This window comes from Homo sapiens, chromosome 7, assembly GCF_000001405.40.
Source record: "Homo sapiens chromosome 7, GRCh38.p14 Primary Assembly".
NCBI lineage: Eukaryota > Metazoa > Chordata > Mammalia > Primates > Hominidae > Homo > Homo sapiens.
The window spans coordinates 19,788,906-19,816,193 of NC_000007.14; the positions used below are offsets into that span (position 1 = coordinate 19,788,906).

Genomic DNA, 27,288 nt, shown 5'->3' on the forward strand with positions numbered 1-27,288 from the left:
TAATTGCCCTGGCCAGAACTTCCAACACTATGTTGAATAGGAGTGGTGAGAGAGGGCATCCCTGTCTTGTGCCAGTTTTCAAAGGGAATGCTTCCAGTTTTTGCCCATTCAGTATGATATTGGCTGTGGCTTTGTCATAGATAGCTCTTATTATTTTGAGATACATCCCATGAATACCTAATTTATTGAGAGTTTTGAGCATGAAGAGCTGTTGAATTTTGTCAAAGGCCTTTTCTGCATCTATTGAGATAATCATGTGGTTTTTGTCTTTGGTTCTGTTTATGTGCTTGATTACATTGATTGATTTGCGTATATTGAACCAGCCTTGCATCCCAGGGATGAAGCCCTCTTGATCATGGTGGATAAGCTTTTTGATGTGCTGCTGGATTCGGTTTGCCAGTATTTTATTGAGGATTTTTGCATCAATGTTCATCAAGGATATTGGTCTAAAATTCTCTTTTTTTGGTTGTGTCTCTGCCCGGCTTTGGTATCAGGATGATGCTGGCCTCATAAAATGAGTTAGGGAGGATTCCCTCTTTTTCTATTGATTGGAATAGTTTCAGAAGGAATGGTACCAGTTCCTCCTTGTACCTCTGGTAGAATTCGGCTGTGAATCCATCTGGTCCTGGACTGTTTTTGGTTGGTAAGCTATTGATTATTGCCACAATTTCAGAGCCTGTTATTGGTCTATTCAGAGAGTCAACTTCTTCCTGGTTTAGTCTTGGGAGGGTGTATGTGTCGAGGGATTTATCCATTTCTTCTAGATTTTCTAGTTTATTTTCCTAGAGGTGTTTGTAGTATTCTCTGATGGTAGTTTGTATTTCTGTGGAATCGGTGGTGATATCCCCTTTATCATTTTTTATTGCGTCTATTTGATTCTTCTCTCTTTTATTCTTTACTAGTCTTGCTAGCGGTCTATCAATTTTGTTGATCCTTTCAAAAAACCAGCTCCTGGATTCATTAATTTTTTGAAGGTTTTTTTGTGTCTCTATTTCCTTCAGTTCTGCTCTGATTTTAGTTATTTCTTGCCTTCTGCTAGCTTTTGAATGTGTTTGCTCTTGCTTTTCTAGTTCTTTTAATTGTGATGTTAGGGTGTCAATTTTGGATCTTTCCTGCTTTCTCTTGTGGGCATTTAGTGCTATAAATTTCCCTCTACACACTGCTTTGAATGTGTCCCAGAGATTCTGGTATGTTAGTGTTCTTATACACCAATAACAGACAAACAGAGAGCCAAATCATGAGTGAACTCCCATTCACAATTGCTTCAAAGAGAATAAAATACCTAGGAATCCAACTTACAAGGGATGTGAAGGACCTCTTCAAGGAGAACTACAAACCACTGCTCAATGAAATAAAAGAGGATACAAACAAATGGAAGAACATTCCATGCTCATGGGTAGGAAGAATCAATATCATGAAAATGGCCATACTGCCCAAGGTAATTTATAGATTCAATGCCATCCCTATCAAGCTACCAATGACTTTCTTCACAGAATTGGAAAAAACTACTTTAAAGTTCATATGGAACCAAAAAAGGAGCCCTCATCGCCAAGTCAATCCTAAGCCAAAAGAACAAAGCTGGAGGCATCATGCTACCTGACTTCAAACTATACTACAAGGCTACAGTAGCCAAAACAGCATGGTACTGGTACCAAAACAGAGATATAGATCAATGGAACAGAACAGAGCCCTCAGAAATAATGCCACTTATCTACACCTATCTGATCTTTGACAAACCTGAGAAAAACAAGCAATGGGAAAAGGATTCCCTATTTAATAAATGGTGCTGGGAAAACTGGCTAGCCATATGTAGAAAGCTGAAACTGGATCCCTTCCTTACACCTTATACAAAAATTAATTCATGATGGATTAAAGACTTAAACGTTAGGCCTAAAACCATAAAAACCCTAGAAGAAAACCTAGGCATTACCATTCAGGACATAGGCATGGGCAACGACTTCATGTCTAAAACACCAAAAGCAATGGCAACAAAAGCCAAAATTGACAAATGGGATCTAATTAAACTAAAGAGCTTCTGCACAGCAAAAGAAACTACCATCAGAGTGAACAGGCAACCTACAAAATGGGAGAAAATTTTCGCAACCTACTCATCTGACAAAGGGCTAATATCCAGAATCTACAATGAACTCAAACAAATTTACAAGGAAAAAACAAACAACCCCATCAAAAAGTGGGTGAAGGACATGAACAGACACTTCTCAAAAGAAGATATTTATGCAGCCAGAAAACACATGAATAAATGCTCACCATCACTGGCCATCAGAGAAATGCAAATCAAAACCACAATGAGATACCATCTCACACCAGTTAGAATGGCGATCATTAAAAAGTCAGGAAACAACAGGTACTGGAGAGGATGTGGAGAAATAGGAACACTTTTACACTTTTGGTGGGGCTGTAAACTAGTTCAACCCTTGTGGAAGTCAGTGTGGCGATTCCTCAGGGATCTAGAACTAGAAATACCATTTGACCCAGCCATCCCATTACTGCGTATATACCCAAAGGACTATAAATCATGCTGCTATAAAGACACATGCACACGTATGTTTATTGCGGCATTATTCACAATAGCAAAGACTTGGAACCAACCCAAATGTACAACAATGATAGACTGGATTAAGAAAATGTGGCACATATACACCATGGAATACTATGCAGCCATAAAAAATGATGAGTTCATGTCCTTTGTAGGGACATGGATGAAACTGGAAATCATCACTCTCAGTAAACTATCCCAAGAACAAAAAAGCAAACACCGCATATTCTGACTCATAGATGGGAATTGAACAATGAGAACACACGGACACAGGAAGGGGAACATCACACTCTGGGGACTGTTGTGGGGTGGGGGGAGGGGGGAGGGATAGCTTTAGGAGATATACCTGATGCTAAATGATGAGTTAATGGGTGCAGCACACCAGCATGGTGCATGTATACATATGTAACTAACCTGCACATTGTGCACATGTACCCTAAAACTTAAAGTATAATAATAATTAAAAAAAAAATTCACTTTGGAAAATCAGCCCAAAGCATTGTTAACTTCCATTCCTTCACTGTGCACTACACATATTCAGACATAGGCTTCAAATTTTTCCTTAAGGAATACCAGCAGGTGATTGATAACTGGAAAAAATAACCATATCTATAAGAATAAATCAAACTCATCGCCATCCTGCATGTGCAGTCTGCCACAGTTATTTGAGCAATGTCATGTAACAATATAATCTATATATTGAGCCCCCAGAATTCAAATTAACATCAGTGAAATCATAGTTAATTGCTTAAAATCTACACTCTTGTCGACATAATTATATTTTACTAACATGAAAAGTATTTATTGCATTGAATAAAATTTGTAAATTGAAAAAAAGAAATTTAAAAATTACATTTGTAGGAATAGTGATGTCAGCAAGATGGTGGAATAAGAGGTTCCCATCTCACATGTGTCCTTTCAAGGTATGATCTGATAGCCATCCAAAGATAAAAGTGCCTTTGTGGAAGATTTGGGATCCAGTTATCAGGCTGCAAAATCTAGGAGGTTGTAAAGGCAAAACCTGAGGAAAGCTTCTTTTTTTTCTTTTCTTTTTGGTCACAAGGAACAAAGTAGTTTATTCTATAATGATACAAAAGTCAATTCAATAGGAAGGTATAACATTGTAAATATATTTGCACCCAATATATAAACATCTAAACATCTAAAGCAAACTGAAGAGAGAAATAGATAGTAATACAACAATGATAGGGGACTTTAGTAACTCACTTTCTGTGATTAACAGATAATCCAGACACAAAATCAGCAAGAAAATAGCAGGCCTGAACAACACTATACAGCAAATGGACCTAACAGACATATACGGAACTTTCCACCCAATAACAAAGAATACAGTTTTCTCAAGTGCACATGGGACGTTATCCAGGATAGCTCACATGCTAATTCCAAAAAAGTCTTAACCAACTGAAGCGTCTACATTGTCCGGGATAAATACCCGGGTTTCATCGTCTCGCACCAGGAAAATTTAGGACATAGACACACAAGGAGTTTAGGAGTGGAAGTTTAATAGGCAAGAGAAAGGAAAAGAAAGAAAAACAGCCCTCTCTCTAGTGAGAGAGAGGAGACTTACGAGAGGAAAACACCGGCCAGAGGTGAATGTGCCAGATTTTAGAGTCAGACTTGAGGAGGTGATGTCTGATTTACAGAGGGCTCACAGATTGGTTCTTTACATAGCACATGGGAAAGGCTGGCCACATCACCCTAATTTTATTATGCAAATGAAATTTCCCCTTGGCTGGCACCACCTTGTCTGCTCCTTACTGCACGTGGGACTGATAAAGAGAAGGGAAGAAGGAGTCGCCATCTTGAACGTGATTGGCACAACTGCCAGCATCTATGCCTGCAGCACGATTTTACAGGCTGCTCTTTGTTAGAAAGGAAAATAATTTGGGACTGCTTTTTACTAAAAAGAAAACCTTACCAAAGACTTCTTACCCTCACTAACTGCCTAAGTAATTTCTTCTTAACTTCTGTATCACAATGACAGTATATATTCAAATATTTTTTTCTGACCAAAATGGAATGAAATTAGAAATCAGTTACAGTAAGAAAGTGGGAAAAATCACAAATACATGGACTCAAAACAACACACTCTTGAAGAACCATTGGGTCAAATGGAAAATCGAAAGAGAAATTAAAAAATACCTTGAGACCAACAAAAATGAAAACACACCATACCAAAACCTATGAGATTCAGTAAAAGTACTACTAAAATGGAAGCTTAGAGCAATAAATATCCACATTAAAAAAGTAGAAAGATCTCTAATAACCTAACTTTACCCCTCAAAGAACTAGAAAAAAAGAAGAAACTGATCCAAAAGTAGCAGAAGAGAGGAAATAATACAGACTTTAGCAGTAATAAATCATAGACTTCAGCAGTAATAAATCATAGAGACTAGAAAAACATTAGAAAACATCAATAAAACTAAGAGTTAGTTTTGGAAACAAATAAACAAAATCAACTAGACTAGCTATCTTGACAAAGGAAAAGGCAGAGAAAACTCAAAATGAAATCAGAAATGAGAGGCGATATTATAATGGCTGTCTCAGAACTAAAAAGGACCACAAGGGACTATTATACTCAATTATATGCCAACAAATTGGAAATCAAGAAGGAGTAGACAAATGCTTATAAACATATTACTTATAAAAGGGGAATCAAGGATAACTAAAAAGCCTGAATTGCACAACAAGTAAAAAGGAGATTGAATCAGTAATCAAGAACCTCCCAACAAAGAAAAGCCTGGGACCAGATAGCTATACGGGTGAATTCTACCAAACAGTCAAAGAATTTATACCAATACTTCCTAAACTCCTGAAAAAGTAGAAGAGAATGCCTCCAAACTAATTTCCTTAGTTTTGATACTATTACCCTGATATCAAAACCAGATAAATATACTGCAAGAAAAAACTGCAAGCAAATATCCTTGATGAACATAGATGCAAAAATGCTAAATCAAGCACTAGCAAACCAAATTTTACAACACATTTAAAGATTTATAAACCATGACCAGTTGGATTTATCTCTGGGATGCAAGAATGGTTCAATATACACAAATCAATCAATGTGAAAACATTTGTTAAAAGAAAATTGAGGCACAATAAACATTTTAAAGAGTTTGAGCAAACGATGATTTCTGAATCAGAAAAAAAACTGAAGGAAGTCAGGCTTTTATGGGATGAATGCAGAAGTAAAACAAAGATAATATTTGATTGGTTACAGTTATAAAGTTTCCCTATTTTGTCTTTCCCACTAGAAAGTACCTAGTTATATAACTGTAAATTTAGTTGGCTGCTTCTGATCGGCTGAGCTAGAAAAGTTTTCTTTTTCTCCAATAGAAACATTTATGAAAAGTGGTTGTTATGGTTAATATTGTCAACTTTATTGAACTGAAGGATGCAAAGTATTGTTCCTGGATGTATCTGTGAGGGTGTTGCCAAAGGAGATTAACATTTGTGTTAGTGGACTGGGAGAGGCAGACCCACCCTCAATGTGGGTGGGCACCATCTAATCAGCTGCCAAGATAGCTAGAATAAACCAGGCATAAGAATGTGGAAAGAGGAGACTTGCTGAGTCTTCTGGCCGCCATCTTTCTCCCGTGCTAGATGCTTCCTGCCCTCAGACTTCGAACTCCAAGTTCTTTAGCTTTTGAACTCTTGGACTTACATCAGTGGTTTTCCAGAGGCTCTCCAGCCTTCAGCCACAGACTGAAGGCTGCATCGTCCACTTCCCTGCTTTTGAGATTTTGGGACTTGGACTGACTTCCTTGCTCCTCAGCTTGCAGATGGCCTTTTGTGGGACTTCACTTTGTGATCCTGTGAGTCAGTACTCCTTAATAAACTCTCCTTCATAGATACATTTACCCTTTTAGTTCTGTCCTTCTGGGAAACCCTGACTAATATAGTGGTCCAAGTTGTTCTACTTTTGTTTGCAATTTAAACAAGGTTAAGGTTAATTTCAATGCTTAAGTGGCTTTGTCTTATCAGCGATTTTTCAAGGTCTGGTTTCCATTTTAATTTGCTTTACACACCACATTAACAAAATGAAAGGGGGAAAAAACCCACAATCATCTTTATCTTTACAGAAAAAAACCTTTGACAAAGTTCAATATTCATTCATAATTAGAACTCTGAACAAACTAGGCAGGGCCCAGGGAGTTGGAAGGACACCTGATGGAACTGTTATGTATGATTGCTGGTACAGGTTCTTGGAAGTATCAAAAGGTTTCAATGGCTGAGAGATGAATTGATGCTGTGAGCAATCAGGGAATAGGCTTAAAATGAACCACATGGATTTAAAGGACCCTTTCTCTACCATTGTTTGGCATCAGAATTAAGCCCCATAGGAAATGAGTATTTTGTCAATTCTCCCAGGGATGGTTTATAGAAAACACCATTTAGAAACATAGGAGAAAAGTTAACTCATTATATACAATGAATTCCTTAGGGCTTTAGGCCTTAACTTTTAAGGAACTCTTGGTTGAGGAGGGCTTATTAAGACGATGACCTTCTCAAAGAACAGGATGAGCCAAGAAAAACCTCATTTTCCAACTTTTTGCATTGTGAAAGCTCTTCTAAACTCTGATACAATTCTTTGATTTTTAGTTGACACATAATAATTGTACAAATTTATGGGATACATAGTGATATTTCAACATGTGTATACAATGTGCAATGATCAAATCAGAGAAATTAGCATATCCATCACCTCATACATTTATAATTTCTTTGTATTGTGACTATTCAGAATCCTCTCTTCCAGCTTTTGGAAAATATATGATAAATTATAGTTAACCATATTTACCCTAGAACGTTGCAGAACACCAGAAGTTGTTCCTCATCTCTAGCTGTAATTTCGTATTGACTAACCATTCTCTCTCCATTCTCCTATCTCCACATCTTTTCCAGTGACCAGTATCCACAATTCTACTGTCTACTTTCTTGCGCTCAAAATTGTTTTTAGCTCCCAAGTATGAGTGAAAGCATGTAGTATTTGTCTTTCTGTGCCTGACTTATTCCTCCAGTTTCATCCATGTTGCTGTAAGTGACATGATTTTATTCTTTTTTTTTAATTAGACTTTTAAGTTTTAGGGTACATGTGCACAACGTGCAGTTCTGTTATGTATGTATACATGTGCCATGTTGGTGTGCTGCACCCATTAACTCATCATTTAACATTAGTTATATCCCCTAATGCTATCCCTCCCCCCTCCCCCCACCCCACAACAGGCCCCGGTGTGTGATGTTCCACACGATTTTATTCTTTTGTGGCTGAATAGTATTCCATTGTGTATAGCTGCCACAATTTCCTTATCCATTTGTCTGTTGATGAACATTTATGTTGATTCCACTTATCAGCTATTGTGAATAGTGGTGCAATAAGCATGAGGGTGCAGGCATCCCTTTGATACACTGATTTCCTTTCCTTTGGATAAATATACAGTATGGGATTGCTGGATCATATAGCAGTTCTATGTTAAATTTTTCAAGAAACCTCCATACTATTGTCCACAGTGGCTGTAATAATTTACATTCCCACCAACAGTGTATAAGAGTTCCCTTTTCTCTACATGCCCACCAGCATTTCTTATTTTTTTCCCCTTTTGCTAATAGCCATTCTAGCTGGGGTGAAATGATGTCTCATTTTGGCTTTGATTGTCATCTCCTGATGACCAGTAATACTGAATTTATGTTTCATATATTTGTTGGCCATTTGTATTTTTTCTTTGAAATTCTTTTGCTCAGTTTTAAATTGGATTACTGAGGGTTTTGTTGTTGTTGTTGAGTTGTTTGAATTCTTTGTATATTCTGGATATTAGTCCCTTGTTGGATTGAATAATTTCCAAATATCTACTCCCATTCTACAGGTTGTCTCTTCACTTTGTTGATTTTCTTTTCTGTTCTTTTTTTTTTTTTTTTTTTTTGCTATGCAGAGATCTTTTAGTTTAATATAGTTCCATTTGCCTATTTTAATTTTTGTTGCCTGTGTTTGTTTTTGTGGAGTCTTAGCCATAACAATTTTTGGAAGAAAAGAATGTCTCCCTCTGCCTCCCATTATAATGACTTTGCTTAGAAATCCTGGAAATAACGATTTAGGTTGAAGTATTTGAATTAAAAAACAATGTGTTGTTTATTAATATATAAATTTTAAGGAGAATGTTTATATCAATAATATATAATAGATAATTTATAATCCAGAAGACAGCAAAAGAGTAAACAAATGCTGCTTTTATGAGAATGGAATTATCCTCTAAGGTTTAATATGTCTTTGATGAAATCTGCTTCATCCTTACCATCATACTTTGCATTATATGTGTAACATTCACTTATAGAGGGAGATTGAAGAAGAATCTGGCAAAACAGATTTCCTCTGTGTGGAAAGTGGTATTCCAACAAAATGGCAACGTGTCTATTTTAACTAATATAGTTTTATTCTTTATTGTTACTTACATTTACAAAATATTAAGTAGGTAGAGGTTGGTAGACTTTGAAATTATTATTGTAATTTAATTTCCACATAGAATATTTAATACTGTACTAATATTTAAAAAAACTTCAAAGAGTTTTAAGGAACAAAATAAAACAAAATAACTGATTTCAAAATATATAAAAATTGGATTTATTCCACAGCATTTAAATATCCTAACAAAAGCTAAGATTCAATATGGTGCTGAAAATTGGATTTGGCATGGCATAATAATTTGTTCATTTTATATTGAATAATGAGCCTAATTTAGGAGTGTGTTTTTCTCTAAGTTCAATCTTTTTATCATTTATCCAAAAATATTTATTGTCTATATACGAGGTGTCCTGTACTGTTTTAAAAGTTGGAAATAGAAAAAAAAAACCCTGCTTTTTACAAAAAAAAACACTTTAAAGTAGCATTAGTTTTAATGACACTACAGGGATACATTGACGTCTTCCATAAAACAGATCTTTTATCTTTCTTATCCACCTACTCAGATACCAACATTTGTTAACAAAACAGGCTAAAACCAAACCCACAAATCAAAACCAACCCTTAAATTATCTGAAATTAAATATCTTTTAGTATAAGTTTAAACGAGACAAATTTCAGAATTTTAGATGATAAACCAAACCCACATCTCATTTACAAAGTATTACTACCTGTAAGTCACCCCGGCTGCTTAGCCTGCTTTTGTCTGCATTGTCTTGAGAAATAGAACTCACACTGTCTTCCTTAAATGAATATTCCATAGTTGAACAGTTGTTAATCTCAGGCTTTTCTTTCTGGTGTTTAACATAAATTGATATTCTTAAAGATGCTATTCTAATACTCAGATATACCTTATTCAATTGATTGTAATTATTTATTCTTCTCTTATTTTAGAATTTATGCTTTTCTGATATTTATGGGCTATTATACTCATTCTCATTGACAAAGCAAAACTATATGCATTTTTAACCCATCATTCTTCTTTATTTCTTACAGGTATGGAACTTCATAGGTTATCTTTCTTTGTACTGCATCCTAAGCCTCCTACCACTTGATGTACTGCTGGAGGCTTCTGAGCTGCCAGTTTTTTTTTTTAAGTTCTCCAGGTGCAATCTTAACATGGTCATCTTGAAAGTCATAATAATCCTCTCACCATGACACAGTGCCCCAAATAGCATCAGAATCCTTTGACACTATAAGGAAGCAATTTTTATCTTATTTCACCTTACATTCACTTGGCAGTCATACCGTGTGGCATGAGTTCATAAGTACAGGACCGCATGGATGACTTAGCTTGACATAATCATTCTCTGGATAAAAAAAATTGGAATGTAGTTGAAAATGAATAATATACCACTCATTTCTCCACATCAATGATACAATTCAGCAGTCTGAAAGCCATTACATAGTCAGTCATCGTTAATACTGATTTAATTTTTGTACTTTGATTTTATTTAATCCTTACAATAACACTGTGACATATTGTAAATATAGAAACTCAGTTTCAGAATTGAAGTTGCTTAGGCTCTTGCAGCTACTTACTGATATCTTCCATACATGCAATGTACTTTATATTACAACATAGTGCCTCTCTATGTTTTTATCTTTTAAAAAAACTGTATATAAAAATGCTACTAAGTTTGCAGATTGATAGGGTTTTACACATTGAACACATCCATGTGATCGGCGTCCAGACCAAGAGACCCAGAACTCCCCTATGTCTACTTCTAGTCACTATCAATCCCATCAGCCTTCAATAATAACTAGAATACTGAGTTCTAACAACATGCATTGCTTCCTGTTTTTGCATTTTATATCATTGGCATTATATAGTATATTTTCCCCTATATTTGGCCTCTTTAACTTATGTTAGTGAAATTTGTTTGTATTGTCCCATGTAGTGGTAGATTGTCAGTCTCATCGTTTTATGCTATTCCATGGATTGTGAATATACCACAATTTATTCATACATTCTATTGTTGATGGGCATTTGGATAGTTATAGTTTTGGCCTATTATAAATAATATTATTATAAACATTCTAATACATGCCATTTGATAAAATATGCACATTTGGAAGGTTTGACATCTATATTTCGATTTACCTGGGAATAAGATTGCTGAGGTACAGATTATACAAATATTTAGCTTTGGTAGGTATAATCCAACAGATTTCCAAGTGGTTCTACCAGTGCCTCTGTATTTATTATTATTAAATAATTAATATTAATGTTTATATTTCAATTATGTCACCTATCATCACAAGTATTCCTTTTTATTGGTAATTATTATGTTCCAGACACTGAGCCAAGGACTGTGTGTCTCTGGGGATATATATATACACTAGAGATACACAGATATGTCAGTTATAATATAGTTACACTCTCCCTCTTTGTGGGAGGAGTGTCTACACAAATTTTTGAAAATTCTTCTGCACAGAGATTTACTTGTTCTTATTTATATTTATTTATTTAATCATTCATTTATATCAGTATAAATGTATAGATATTTATTTTTAGTTTGGGTTATGGTGTAATACTACTTAAAAAAAATAAAAATATTTTGTTTCTTGCCTCTTCTAGCTTTGGCCATTAAGCTCTGTCTTTAGTCTTAGAATCAGTGATTTATCCAAGAAGCTTTGGGTTTTTTTGTTTTTTTCTTTTTGGAGTAGGGTATTAGAAAGCAAATTTTGTGTGCATTGTATGCTAGTTGCTAGGGGTTATCATTACTTGTGGACCCTCTCAGCTGATAGAAAGTATAATATATGCATGTATACCAACCTGTGTATAAACATACATCTATAAATATAACTATATGTAACCTTCAGTATCTGTATTAAGCTAAACCTAAAGTCATACTGGTATGTAACTCTAATCCATTTCCACAGGGATCATCTTAGCCTCCTCCCTATACTTTTTGTACATTTCCATATAACAATAAAGGACATGACTCCCACCATCCAACATACATTTACTTAATTGTTCAGTTTTAGTATACAGGTATAGCAGTATTGGAATTGCTATCCAGTACCCCTGTAGGAATGAAGTTTATCACCTGAGGTATAGGGCTTAAGTGCAGTTCCTTTTGCCTTTAGTCTTACAGACTCCACTCACTTCTAAAGTTATTTGGGTTAGCACCTTTTACTCCATTCAGTTCTGTGAGATTGTTTCCAACACTTGTAATACAGTTAGATTATCTTGTGGCAATCTACATTACTTCCTGGGATTCTCAGCCTCCTAAATTATTTTTATAACATTTGCAAACATTAAGGTTACCTCCATGCTAGAAAGTTCTATGGGTTTTGACATGTTTATAATGCCATGTACGTACCATCAGATAGCGTAAAGAAGAGGTTCACTGCTTCCAAAAAACCCCCATGATTCACCTATCCAACCTTTCTGTGGAACCCATATCTTCCACTGAACTGTTTACTATATCTATAGTTTTACTTTATCCAGAATGCCATGTAATTGTAGTCAAATACTACATAGGCTTTCAGACTTGGTTCTTTCACTCAGCAATATGCATGTAAAAATTATCCATATCTTTTTGTAGCTTGATTGCTCTTTTGTTTTTATAGCTGCTATTTAGTCTGAATGTTGATGTCCTCCCCAAATTCAAATAAAACCTAACACCCAATGCAATAATATTAAAGGTGGGGTCTTAAGGAGGTGACCCTCATAAATGGGATAAGTGCCATATAAAAGAGGTTGAAGGGAGATGCCTTGCCCCTTCTGCCATGTGAGGACATGGCAGCGAAGTGCTTTCTATGGAGCAGAGAGTGAAATTTTACCAGACACTGAATCAGCTAGTGCCTTGGTCTTAGATTTCCCAGCCTCCAGAACTGTGAAGAATAAATTTCTACTATTTCTAAATTACCCTGTTGAAGGTATTTTGTTATAGCACCCAAATAAACTAAGATAATCCCTAAATAATACTCTATTGTATGAGGGTACTACAGTTTGTTTATTCATTCATCTCTTGAATGTTGTTTCTATCTTTTGCTAATTATAAACATAGTTATTATAAACATTTGTGTTCAGATTTTTGTATGGATGTAATATTTCAAATCAGTTGGATCTTTCCTTCCATGATCATGGATTATCTCTTTACTTTTATACATCATATATATGTTATTAGATTTATACTTTGGTATTGCATTTCTGAGGGTGCTGTTTTAACTGACGTATATTTTGAAAATTTCCAATACTAATTGTTCATTGTTGGCTTATAGTAAAGCAAAATACTTTTGAAGCTTTACCTTGTATGTTGCAATGTTGCTATTATAGTTTATTAATCCAGGAGATTTTTACTGATTCTTGAGATTTTTCTACCTATAGAACCAAATGATCTGTGAACAAAAAGAGTTTTATTTATTCCATCCCAATCTGTTTACCTTTTATTTATTTATTTTTGTCTCATTGCACTAGCTAGGACTTCTGGTATGATGTTGAATAGGAGTGGTGAGTAAAGCCAAACTTACCTTGTTTCTAATGTTAGAGTGAAAGCATCCAATTACTCACTATTAAGTATTATATTAGCTGTCAGCTTTTTGTATATGTTCTTTATCAAGTTGAAACACCACCATATTCTTGGTTTGCTCAGAGTTTTTTCTTGAATGAAATAGACATCAGATATTGTCAAATGCTTTTTATGCATCACTGATTTTCCAACATTGAATCAGCTTTGTATGCTTAGAATAAATCCTACTTGGTCATGGTGTAAAACATTTTTATACCTTTTCAGATTTAATTTGCTAATATTTTGAGGAGGGTTTTTGTATCTATGTTAATGAGAGATACTGGTCTTTCTTCAGTTTTGGTATTAGGGTAATGCTGACCTCATTAAGTTAGCAAGCATTCTTCTGTTTCTATTTTCTGGCATAAATTGTGGAGGACAAGTATCATATTTTTCTGTAAATGCTTGATAAAATTCAGAGAAGCCATCTGGGCCTAATTATTTCTTTTGTGGAGCATTATTAATTGTTGATTAAATCCATTTAATAGATGTAGGCCTATTCAGATGATTTATTACTCCCTGTTTGAGGTTTTGGTGGTTTGTGTCTTTCAAGAAATTTGTTAGTTTTATCTAAGTTATAAAATCTGTGAGCATAGAGTTGTTCGTATTATGGGATCAACAGTGATGACCTCACTTTATTTCTGATATTGGTAAATTGTACCTTCTCCCTTCTTATTTCCTGTTTAGCTTACCTAGAGATTTGTCAATTTTACTGATCTCCCCAAAGAACCAGTTTTTTATTTTATTCATAGCTCTATTGTTTTCCTATTTTTAATTGCACTGACATGTGATCTAATAGTTTTCTCCGTATGTTGCTTTTGTTCTTGGGGCATTTTGCAATTCAAGGCTTATAAAGAGGCTGAAAAGCTTGTTATGAGAGGCCAACGCATTTTAAGAAATCTTACATGACCGAGGAGCCAAAAAGTCGGATATAAGGCTGCAAAAGCACTCACAACTTGAAGTTGCAAGATTTCTGAGAAAAGAGAGGCACAGACAAATGACAGTAATATGCCACATCAGTTTTACCCTTGGTGCTTCTGTTGACTAAGTTCTGCAGGGTAAGCAGCTAAGAATCCTACCAGAGGGAAACTAGAAAGAAGAGCTAGTTTTGTTTTTTTTAGGTTGCTGAGGATATGCCTGAATCTCTCAGCTGGGAATCCTGAAGGATTACTCTCTAATGGAGTAAATCAGGGGTGACTAAGACTTACAATGATTGTAAATCTATTTTGAGTCAGCTCATCCCTAAGGACTCAAATGATTTGTCCCTCTGTTTCCTTACAGAAAAGAGGGAAAAACATCATGAAGAGAGAAAACACATATCATTTGTTTTATGACAAAGTACAATGAGTGAAGGAAGTTATTTTACCTAAATGGTGTTTAGTCTGTTGGATATCCGTAGAGAACTAAACGCATCTTGAACCATATACAAAAGTCAATTCAAGGTGTGTTATTAAAAAAGATTCTTCCCAAGAGAGTTTCTAGACTATTGAAGTGACCACAGAGAGATGTTCAGTAGAGGAGTGTACTACCAGTAGACAGAGGAGAGCTGGAACAGTGTCCCAGTATGGGAATTATAGTTGGGAATATCCAGCAAGACTTCTAGAAAACCTATAAAAGTGTGCTGTAAGGGAAAGGTAAGCATTTGTACATCTGCTACTCAGAAAACTCTAATGAAAACTGTACTAGATATTTAAGGCAGTATCAACCATCTAATACTGTCGTTCAATTTTCACTTGCATATTAAGTGATGAGTCAGGACTCAACCAACTACAGCTCAGTTATGGAAAAAGTTCTTGTTATCTTTTAGGATGGTTGAACAGAAAACCCTTTAAAACCTGCTAGTTCTGCAGAAAGAAAATGCGTGAGAATTTTTGTTTTGAGTTGTAAGTGATGAAAACCCAACTAAAAGTTAAACTAGCTTAAACAAAGCATCTATGTTGGCTTATTTAACTAAGGAAGCAGGTATGCTGTGAGCTCTAATCAAAGGTAGATCTAAGAACTCAGCAATAACTTCACGAAAATGTTTCTCTATATTTGGATTCTGTATTCTTCTGCATTGGCTCTTTTCTCAGATTGGCTCATTCTATGCAAGGGTCCTGAAAAATTGAGAATTATTTTCTAAAAGTTTAGCAACATCAGAAGAAGGAAAGGCTTTTTTCAAGTAGTGAAATTCTAGAGTGGGACTCTTGAGCTCAAGTTGTATCCTGTGCCCATTCTGAACCGATCACAGTTGCTCTGATTGAATGAGAGTAGAAAGTTAGTTCTCTAAAGGAAAACTGAAGCTCTTTTTTTTTTTTTTTTGACAGTCTCACTCTGTCACCCAGGCTAGAGTGCAGGGGCGTGATCTCAGCTCACTGCAGCTTCTGCCTCCTGGGTTCAAGCAAACCTCCTGCCTCAGCCTTCCAAGGTGCGCCACCATGCCTGGCTCATTTTTGTATTTTTTTTTTAGTAGAGATGGGGTTTTGCCATGTTGACCAGGCTTGTCTCAAACTCCTGACCTCAGGTGATCCGCCCACCTCAGCCTCTCAAAGTGCTGGGATTACAGGCGTGAGCCACCGCGCCCAGCCTGAAAACTGAAGTTCTCTTACTAGAAATGGGATAGGAGATTACTGATGCTGGCCAGGCAAGAGTCTGTCTCAGTGGAGAAGTTTGATTTCTAGTCACAGTGTAAATACGCATGCTGTTTTGAACAAGTCTTACATAAGCTGTTCTTCCTGTGGAGGAATTGTGGATGAGCCTTAACTTCTCCTTAATTAGCAATTATAAATAGAGTATCCTTAGTAGAAGAAAGAGTAGTCACCTAAATAGAGTAGAAGAAAGAGTAGTCACCTAAATATAGTAGAAGAAAGAGTACTCAGCTAATATCTAATCAAAGTAGGGCTACTTCATATTAAAAGAGTAGGATGGATGAATCAGAAATACTCTACCAAATGAGTAAGTTCATTTTAGAAATATCAATACAAATGTTTTCTGTAGACTCCCTTAAGTACAAAGTCAACAGAGAAGGCATACATTTAAAAATAGCTCTCATAAAATGTATGTTAGTCTAAAGAAGAAGTACTGCATTATTTGTTGAGCTGAAATTTGCATGGTAAACTTTTCATTACTTATTCTATTCCCTTCCCTCCCATTGAACTCCTCTAGTATTCTTAAGAGGGAGAACACACTGAACATGCTATTTTTATACCAGTCCAGAAACAAATAAGCAGGTTAAAAACAACTTATAAATCATAGGAATTCGAAATGGAGCACACACATTATATTTTCTCTTGGCTTTCTTTTAACTCTTTGTCTACTCTTATATTTAATATTTATAAAGATAATAACATATTGTGTCAGGTGCAAATATGGGGAAGGGGATTTTTTTATTCCATTAAATGTTCTTCCTTGCAGGTTTAAGACTTATCCTTGGGCAAATTACTATCCTGCTGTGTTGAGACCATTAACAGAGTAGCTTCTTACCACTGTCTGGGAAGCCATGTTTCTAGGAGGTCAAAATTGTGGTGTCTGCAGAAGCCATGGCCTTGCTCGCAGCCACTTAATAATAATAAGTGTCTTTTACGAATAAATTTAGGACAATTCATAGGGGAGAGGATCTAATCAAAGGGGAAGCACTTAGGGAACTTAGGTTTTGAGAGGAAGCATTTAATTTTTTTCCCAAATATCTACAACCAGGTGGTGATTCAACGCATATCTCAATTCACTGACCCTGACTATTCCTCAGGGAAGTACTGTGTCATTAAGTGCTTGGTTCACTCCATTCATGGATGCTTAAAAATGTAGCTGGAAGAATGATTAATAACTTACAATTTACTTTTAAAAGCCTGAAATGGAAAGTTGTGAATATATTTCTCAATGGAGATTATTTATCATATACAGTTTTTGTCATTTCAGCATTCACTTCATCTCACTCTTTTAACTCAGTGAACACTCATTAATTATAGTCTAGGTGCAAGACACTCTGCCAAGATGAATGGCATGTGGCCCCCTCACTTATCTGGGGAAAAAAGATAGACATACATAAAATTAACTATAGTACAAGGCAGAATAGACTATTGCAAATTTATAATGTATTTTTACCTATTTGTTCAGTTTGAGCTTCACAAAAATCATTTGAATCATTTGAAGTAAGAAGAAAATCCCAAAACCAAGTCATGTTTTGATTCCTCCCTTTTCCTCATTGAGGGCAGGAGCCAAGTCTGTCTTTGTCTCCTGTTTTCCTCAGTGTACCTGAAATATAATAGCCATTCAGTGAATTCTCATTAAATAACTGAATGAATGAGTGTGTAAATAAATTAATTAAAGGCAGAAAGGACAGGTATTGTCTGAGGTAGAGGTGATGAGAGATAGAGCAACCTCAGGTGGGTCGCAGATTTCTGATTTCGTTGACTTAGGTAGGTGTTAAGGGTAGGATTTGGTGGAGGGAGATGATGTAGAGCTTTGGAAATGTAGAATGGGAGGAGAAATAATTATTTTGAAACATTAGGGCTGAGATAATCAATCAAGAGAAAAACAAGTGTGTATGTCAGATGAAGAGCACATGGTATAGACGTAGACTGGGAGATATCACTTGAAGTCATGAGTGTAAGACTATGAAACAAACAAAGATAGATCCTTCGGGAATATTCATTTGAGGGTTGGGCACTACAACAAGAATATATCTTTCAATGGAATTTCACTGCAGGTTGAATTTTATAAGACAAAAGGCCCTGAGCCATTGTCTAAAGACTTTTTGGCCAGACTGTTTCTTGAGGCTTCAGATAGTAGCATGATGAATATCAGCAACAAATGCAAAGTTTATAGAAGAGAAGAAAACCAGAATTAGAATAGGGTTAATAAAAAAATTACTAAGAAAAATATATTGCTTATCTCTTTATTTCCTTTTTGGAACAGTCTATTGGAGAAGTAGAGGTTAGAGAAACAAAGAAAATAATCCATGCAGGGGCCATGAGGAGTGAAGAATATCATCCAAGATCACTCCTACTTTGTGTCAACCACAGTGAGGACCTAGACACACACTGATATACTCCTCATAAGCCTCTGAAAAGTAGGTGTTATGATCCCTGTTTCCAGACTCTGAGAGGTAAGTGATGCCTGAGGACCCACAGCCCTTAGGAAGAAGCGTCAAGCCTCGACCTCTCCAAAGTCCCAGTTCCTTCTACCACTCATTGAATGACTCCTTCAAGAGTCAGGATTTGTTATGACAATTCAGTACCTAAAAGATGAGAGATGCAGTCAATCAATAATTTGTTTAGATGACAATGTCATTTATAAATTTCAGTGAGGTATTGACAAAAGGTATATTTTAGTGGGTATGCATCAGTGCAGCAATTCTATTTGTTTATGGCTGAGCCTGATTGCTTGGTGGTCTGTCCTGATTGGTTGCTGCCATGTCATACCAGTTGTTAAGTATTTTGACTATTTCTTCTGGGAATCATGACCATCACATAAGGTACTGAGTCTGGAGCTATTTATCTTGATGTTGCTCTTTATATGTTGTGTATAAACCTGAGCATTGTTATCAATAGAGAAGATGCAGCTTTTATACCCTGAAAATGGATACTTAAAATGAACTAGTCTACTCAAAAAGTATATTTTAAATATATATATTATATGTGAGGCACTGTGCCTGGATATATTATAATGAACAGCATTAATATTGCTCCTTGCCCTCCTGGAGGTTATAGTCTATGGCAAACAGAGTATGAGAGGAGTCACAGCAGTAGATACACAGATGCTGTTAAAACATAGATAAAGGAAACTTCTAGAACAAATAATCTCTAACCCCTAAATGAAAAGCTAGTCAAATAAAGCAATGAAGTTGCTTGGGGGTAGGTGGAGTTGTTTCAGGAGCAAAAATAGTATGTGCACAGCCCTGAGGCAAGGTAGAATAGGACATTTTGAAGATGTAAAAGAATTGCTGTGTAGATGGGTACTAGAGAAGAAAACAGGAAGTGAATGACTCTCAAGGGTATAGAAATAAGCCAAGATGAGATTCTGAAGGGCCTTACTCCTGAAGACCCTATGCTAAGGTGGTGAAAGTGGCCCAGGAGCAGAAATGAGAGAATAGTACTACCGCTTCAGAGAGATTAGTGGAATTGTAGGATAATTTTGAGAGAGAAAACTGAATGCAGGGAACTCATTTAAGAAAATACTGTGGAAACCCTGTGGAGAAAAAAATGACTGCCTGGAATAAGAGTGGGTCTTTGAGAATGAAAAAGGGAAATGGATGCTCATGATGTTCGGTAGTTAGAATTCATGGATTTTGGAAATTTATATTGTGATGGGTGAAGGAGCAAAAAGAATGAAATATAATGCACAGTTATAGCCCACGGTTTTTTTCACTGAAAATGGGGGCACAGGAATGGCTGGTTTGGGACATGTTGCATTTGAGTTGCTGTGGGATGCCTGTGGTGACACAAAGATTTTTAAATTTCAAATAGCTATTGTTCTAGAATTTAAATTTAGCTGATATTCTTAGAATGTGTTAAATTGTTCATGTAGTAATTTATTTTAAAATGTTTCAGTACAGTGTGCTGTATGTGTCTGATTTACTTTAATCTAAGCCCAAGTGGTTTTTGGCATATGAATTACCCTAGTTAGGAATCAATGCTCTGCAGGTAGTGCATAAACACTATAAATATTATCAATTTTTTTTATCAGGAGTATGTTAATTAGAAGAAAGAATGCTAGAAATAATTCAAATGCGTAGATAACTGAAAAACTGTGAAATAGAAGGTTTTAAAAATAAAAGCTTTATTTTTAAACTAAGGAAAGGGATAAGCTGATACAACCTTTTGTTAATATACAAAAGTTGATATTCTAAGCACATCTGGAAATAAATATCCATGCTCATTTTCTTTGTAAACAAAATACACACATATTATTAGAGGCCATTGACTTAATATTCTTGGGAGAAGTATTAAAAATCTATTTCAGATTACAGCTTTGTTGAATTCAGTAATAATGTAACTTAAGTGATAAGTTGCATTTGTCAAAAATGTATATTAAAAATATAAACTTTTTTCCAATTTGAATGCAGGATTGTTTATATTTTAGAGTGAGCACTACACAGTTTTTAGTCTTAAGGATCAACAAGAATGTCTGATAACAGTATGGAGTGAAGAATCTGCATTCCTTTGTCCCCTGCCTTCTCCCCCATCCTTTACTCTCAAACTAAGGAACCCAAAGACATTTGGCCCTTGGGGAGTAACAAGAATAATCCAGATGGGGATAATCCTTCCCAGTTGGCAAAAGGAAACAAGCAGAAAACAACATGACTCTCAGAAACTCAAAATTTCTCCCTTGGACTTCCAGTAGAATTTCATGTTAATCATCCTAGAGGCTTCCAGAGAAAGCTATAACATGTTTAATATTTTACAATCTTAAGTGTCAAAAGTTTGTCTATACCTAATGCAAATGATTAACTTACAAAATTATTGGAACTATTTCCTTTTTTTTTTTTCCTCCAGGCAATGTGTTCTACTCAGGAAGGTGGCAGGCACTTAGGGACTGCTATTGAGCAGCTCCCCAGCTTGTTATTCAATGGATAGTAGCTTTTCTTCCTAACAGTCAAAATGTGCTACTAGCTGGGAAACTCCAAATAATGTGGAGCTGGGGAAGAATGGAAGAATGCAGGAAGAGGGCAGGTAGCAAAAATCACCGGAGACCAGGCATATCATCCCATGCACAGAAGACAGTAGTCTGTGCATGGGATAATATATCGTGGTCCAGAGGGTTTCTGTCAGTGAAGAAAGAGGCCAGAAATAGCATGCCCTAGACTATACCATAAGTGATGGCACAGTGGGTTTCATAGAAAGATGAACTTACAATTCAAGCATTCAAGAAAACTCTGCCTTGAAGTTTATTAACTGGGAAGACTATGCACTTATTAAACTGTTGGTGTCATAGCCCAAAGCTACTTATAGATGTTATTTTAAAATGTCCTCGGAGCCTCTGGCATGCTCTTCTAGCTTTCCTTCATGGAAGCAGATTTCCATTCATTAATGTAATGTTTATCAAAATGCATGGTTTCCCATAAATTACCTCAGAATTTTCTAAAATAACTAGATGAATCTGAATTTCTCAGGTTAAGGCCCAGGAGTTTGCATTTTTATAGGGTTTTTAGTTTCTTAATAAACCACTACTTTAAAACACGATTGGGTTAATATATAGTATACTGTGGGGCCAGATCCAATGGCTTTGCACAGTTACACAAATATAGGCTATAGGTATAGGAATGTAAAGGAAAGTGGTGTATTTTCTTATCCTGCTTGTCAGTTACATTAGCTTTTTGAAGATGAGAATTTTCAAATGGTTTGAGCAATGTTTATGGTAATATTTAGACCATAGTTCTTTTAAAAGGTTGAAGGTCCTTGTAAAACATGCAAAATGTAATATGTCTAATTACGAAAAGAAGTGCCATTTAGAAATAGCCATATTTTGCAGTAAAACATTTTAGATCTTTTTAAACCCTTGTCTGCATATTATTATGATCTAAAAATATTATGCTTTCCCCCCAGGAGATTTTGATATATCCTCCTGTAAAGGGGATAGGGTATGCTTTATTGAGCATTACTGCATTTAAAAAAGCAATAGTTTTTTTTTCAAAATTATAATTGTTTAATTTGAATGTACTTTATTGAACATAAAGAACAGGCTCTACTTACTTTTAAGATTCTTGTATTTCCCCAGACACAGTTTTTCCCCTGATTGAGAACACCATCATTTAGAGAATGAGAGAGAAAAACTGGAAAATATACTCATTTATATACATTCTATTTTTTCCAGGTAAATGTTGGTAATAAACACACATTAAGGACAGTGTTTCTGCCCTGCCATTGAAGGTATTACTCAGCTAGAATATTCTCTGCCTACATAGATCAAATTCATAAGGTAGTTATTTAATTTTCTTTTCATTTTAATGAAGAGTATCTTAGTGGTAGAACCTACCTCTTCCTACTGAATTAAAAGTATTGGCAGTAGAGCAAAGGCCATAGGCAGTTTTTATTTGATTGTTTTTGGTTTTTCTTATGTGAAAACATTTCAGCAATTTTGTCCCAGGTGTTTACTGTCCATGTTAAGCTCTGATTTCATTTTGGCATGAAGAACAACATGAATTTAATGACATCCAGGTGTAGAAATGGTTACTACTGTCGTGGGAGTTGGAGACCCAATTGGCAAGACTGAAAATTAGTTTCTGAACTTCACATTTTGCATTTCCTTCTTTCTGCTCAGCACAATAGTTCTGCTGCACTAAGGAAACTGCTAATATCCAATTTAGGAAGAGCTGGTGAATGGTATTCACATGAGCAAGATAAATTAAAATCTTCTTAATGAGATAGCAGCCAGACCTGAGAGGGAAGGTTTCCTGAAGACTCCAAATTTTGAACTTGGATGCTTGGGCTTGAGGCTTCAGCAAACTCTCACATCATGAATGTGGGGACCGTGGTATCATATACCTCATCACAATCTGGCTAACACTATTTCATTTCATTAATGAAGAGTTTTGGTTATCAATTCAGTTTTTGTCATTCCAGCTGTTTGCATTGACTGTTTTTAACTATAGGCAGGAGGAGTTCCCTCTTACTGATAGAAGAGTCAGACTTGTAGTTCTATTTAGGCCTTCAGCTGATTGCCATAAGGGCCACTCATATTAGGGAGGGAAACCTGATTTACAGTCTACCTATTTAAATGTTAATATCATCTTAAAATCTAAAATAATGTTTGACCAAATATCTGGATACCCCCTGGCCCAGTCAAGTGAGCACATAAAATTAATCATCACGCCTATCAAGTCACAAATGATATAGATGAACCTTAAATGTATATTCAAACTTAAAGAACCCAGTAAGAAAAGAATATATACTATATGATTCCGAGTTTGTGACATTTAGGAAAAAGCAAAACTATAGAGACAGACAGTAGAAAGAACAGTGATTGTCAGAAGTTCTGCAGGAGGAGCTCGGGGTTTAATATGTGAAACATGGGCGATTTGGGGGTGGTAAAAGTATTTGGAATTATACTATAGCAGTTGGTATATGAAACTGTGCATTTTTCAAAACTCATACAACTTTACAGCACCAAGATCATACCTTAATGTACATAATTCTATTTTACCTTATTATTTTAAAATTATTTATTTTAGAGATGGGCACTCACTCTGTCACCCAAGCTAAAGTGCAGTGGCACGATCATAGTTCACTGTAACCTTGATCACCTGGGCTTAAGCAATCTGCTCACCTCAGCCTCTTGAGTAGCTAAGGCATGTGCCACCACACCTGGCTAATTTTTAAATTCGTTTGTAGAGATAGGTCTCTCTATGTTGCCAAGGCTGATATATCTGTTTTTGTTGTTTCTAATTAAAATTATTTAGGAATTCATGGGATCCAGGATGGAATGCAGACTGTAATAAAAAATCTAATCACATCACAATTAAGAACACAATCTCCCTGAAGAGGTGAGCTAAAATATAAGTGAGGAGTGTGCAAGGATGCTGAATGTTTGGGAATGAGAGGATAAATGAGTGATGCTTGAAAACAGACCACATTGAAAATCCTGCCACGGCAGCAGCTGCAGCCACCAACAGCAGTGGTGTTAGTGACCTAAGTAAGCACCGACTTCGTAGAAACCAGAACATCAGCCATCTTGGAAAAGAGAAAAACAATGGAGTTACTTATTTAAGAAAAACAAAAAACAAACAAACAAACAAAAAACACAACTATTTCTTCCCAGGAGAGGCTAGAAGTAGCTTTTCTGCCTTCTGGCCGGAGCCAATTGGAATGACTGGTTTGGGAGAGGAGGAGGGGTTGTGTCAGCTGTGGTGCTTTGTTGTAAAAGGCAGCCTGACCTTTGCTACTGAGGAGAAAGATGGAGCCGAGTCTCAAGCCCACCTTCTCTGTATCTTTGCCACGTGGTACTGTATGCCTGCCAGCTAGAAGGAAGGTAAGGAATTTTTTTACAGTCTGAGAATGAGTGTGGGTGAATGAGGCGGTATCCACATTCTCAACTTCGTGTCATTGCAGTTCCTTTTTCCTTTCCCAGAAAACAAGGGGTTAGATATTGCATTTCATGAAACTGACCAAAGTTCTGTCTACTGATGCAGCACAAGAGATGTAAACAAACAAACAAACAAACAAAAACGAGGAAAGATGCTCTTTGGGTTTTTTATTGTATTTTATTTTTATTACTTTAGGGAAAACACTGTCGAATGGTCAGAGCTCCTATCCTGATCTTTTCATCAAGGCGCCTTTCCTAATAATACGGTACAACTGTGAATGTAGACGTGGTTGGGGGGAGGGGGGAGAAAAAACTGGCATTAGAGGACATAGAAAAATAAAAGTATAATTGTTACAAATAAAGAACTCAGACTTCAAAAAAGTCACAACCCAAACAAACCAAAATTTAAATGATCAGAATTGGCAGTACAAAGAAAACGTCCTCTCCCGACTTATATTGTGGCAGTCTGAATGCCCCCAGAAAATTGTGCCGAAGAGTTTAGAAAAACAAATATACAATAAAAGTAAACACACATATACACAAAACAGCAAACTTTAGGTAACTACTTTGGATTGCAAAGTTACCTAAGTAACTTTGGAAATGAGTGAAGACTGTAAGATTTCACTCTGTATTATCAATATAAGCCAGATAAAATCACCGTATTCTAGGTTATAAAGTTGTTTCCCATGGGGGGTACAAGCTAACAAATCTAAAACAATTCAAAAATAATCAATTCACAAATATTCCAACATCCTCTATATCTGCAATTTTTCTCCCATAGCGTATATAATCTTCCAATACAATGGATAACTTATTTATTATGTTTATTGTTCATTGTTTCCCCCTACCAGAATGTGAGCTCTACAGTGTCAGGCGTCTTGGAACTGGATCATGGTAGGTTCTCAAATTTTGTTGAATTGTTTTGAGTCTAATTGAACATGCTTTGTCAAATATTAATCTAATATCCACGGGAGACAATGCAGGAAAATATGTTTAATGTACAGCTTCAGAGCCAGCCAACCCAGGAATGAGACCTGTCTCCAATGCTTGTTCTGTAATCTTTGGGAAGTTACCTAAAATTCAGCAAGGGAAAATGCAATGGCATATGGTTTAAAAAGGAGTTTCAAAATATCTTTTAATCCTCTCACTCACTCCTGTGTCTTTACATGTTATTTTCTTTTGGAACTAGGACTGGAATTGCTTTTCTGTACCAGTAATTTTAATGAGGTCAACAGTAAGTCAGATAGGAAAGAAATTCTATCACAAATTTTAAAAGATATATCTCTAAAGACTTTTTAAAAATCTATTTTATTTATAAAAATGTATTTGAATAGGCTGGAGTCCCTGAAGCTGAAAAACATAGTGTTGTAGTTTACCTGCATCTGAGTTTAGTCATAGCACTATATCTGCAAAAGCAGAGTAATAAATAGACCAGCCATCAAGTTCATTTGTTGAATAAGCTTCCAAACTGAGATTTTTGGCCTCCTTATTTAGCATACATAGAGGATACAAATAGTACTATGGAAATAATGGGCTGTTCTTAAAATTGGGCTCATCTGGTAGTGATTATCGTAGATTAGGATGAGGGAAATAAAATACTCAATTCTAATGGGTAACGTATTAGGAGAAAATGATTGATTCTCTACTAGCCACTACATACTGAAGATGAATGCCAAAAAAATTTTATCCAATGTAGTTAAACTAACTGTTTCTCTTAAAATCATAAATGTATCTGGAAAGGAGGCTGTAAATATTTCAAAACAGTAGAAAAGCCTATTTGAAATATTTTCTAAACATCCAAGACATGTAGTCATATTAAGTACTGAGAAGCTATATTTGCTGAACTTTAAAAAATAGAACTAAAAATCTATTGCCTGGGTCTGAATTAAATGATAACCACAACTGAAGCATATGGAAATGAAGTTTATAAATACAGGACTGAATATAAATTCTGTGTAATAAAACTTGATAAAAAAGAATTTTAGCAAAATATTAATTTATTATCATGTTGTTTTATTTTCTTGCAAAGGTGAGTTGATGTTGCTGGCTATAACTCACATGACCAAAATCGTCTTTACATTATTCTACCACCATTTGTTTTGCTTATCTTTGAATCTTCCAAGACCATTGCCCTCTCTGATCAGCCCAACCATGGCAGTAGCTCTTAGCAGAAGGTAATTTCAAAAGGTCATTTAACATAGATGATTATAATCCTGAATGATTTTGGCTTTAATTAGAATGATCCATGATGTCACCATCCCTCAAGGGTTGGTTGACTAACAGTATCCCAGAGAGAAGCCACGCTACAATCCAAATTCCTCAAATACTTCCCAAGTGCCCTGTATATTCCTCAGGCACCGAGACAGGAATTTGAGGTATAAAAATGAATAATATATTCTGTCTAACTTCAGATTGCCTATAGTCTTGTAAAGGAAATAGAGATGCATATAAATAATAATATTACAGTATAATATACAACAAAGAATTGCATATAATGAATGTTACAGAGTGAAGATTGTTTCAAAAGTCAGAGAGTCATAAAATCTTCAAAGAGAAACTTAAGAGTCTTATGGTGATTAAGAGTTTTACAGCCAACAATCTGAAATGAGGCACTCCAGAAAATAAGAGGCATTGACAAGGCATAGAAGGTGTATTTAGATACTTACCAGTGTTTTGATATTTCTATATCATAAGGCCAGATAGAAGGCTAATACCCAAGATTCATATTTTTGCCACGCTAA

At 35.6% G+C, this 27,288-nt stretch overlaps 1 long non-coding RNA gene across 1 annotated transcript in view; it reads left to right on the top strand.

The window, feature by feature from the left end:
- Nucleotides 1-25,442, top strand: part of LOC107986774 (uncharacterized) — a 92,330-nt gene extending 66,888 nt beyond the window's left edge. The window contains exons 2-5 of the long non-coding RNA XR_001745112.2: nucleotides 22,340-22,444; nucleotides 23,925-24,493; nucleotides 24,744-24,813; nucleotides 25,399-25,442. This is a non-coding gene — a long non-coding RNA (uncharacterized LOC107986774). The remainder of the gene's footprint in view (nucleotides 1-22,339; nucleotides 22,445-23,924; nucleotides 24,494-24,743; nucleotides 24,814-25,398) is intronic.
- The last annotated feature ends 1,846 nt before the right edge of the window (nucleotides 25,443-27,288 follow it).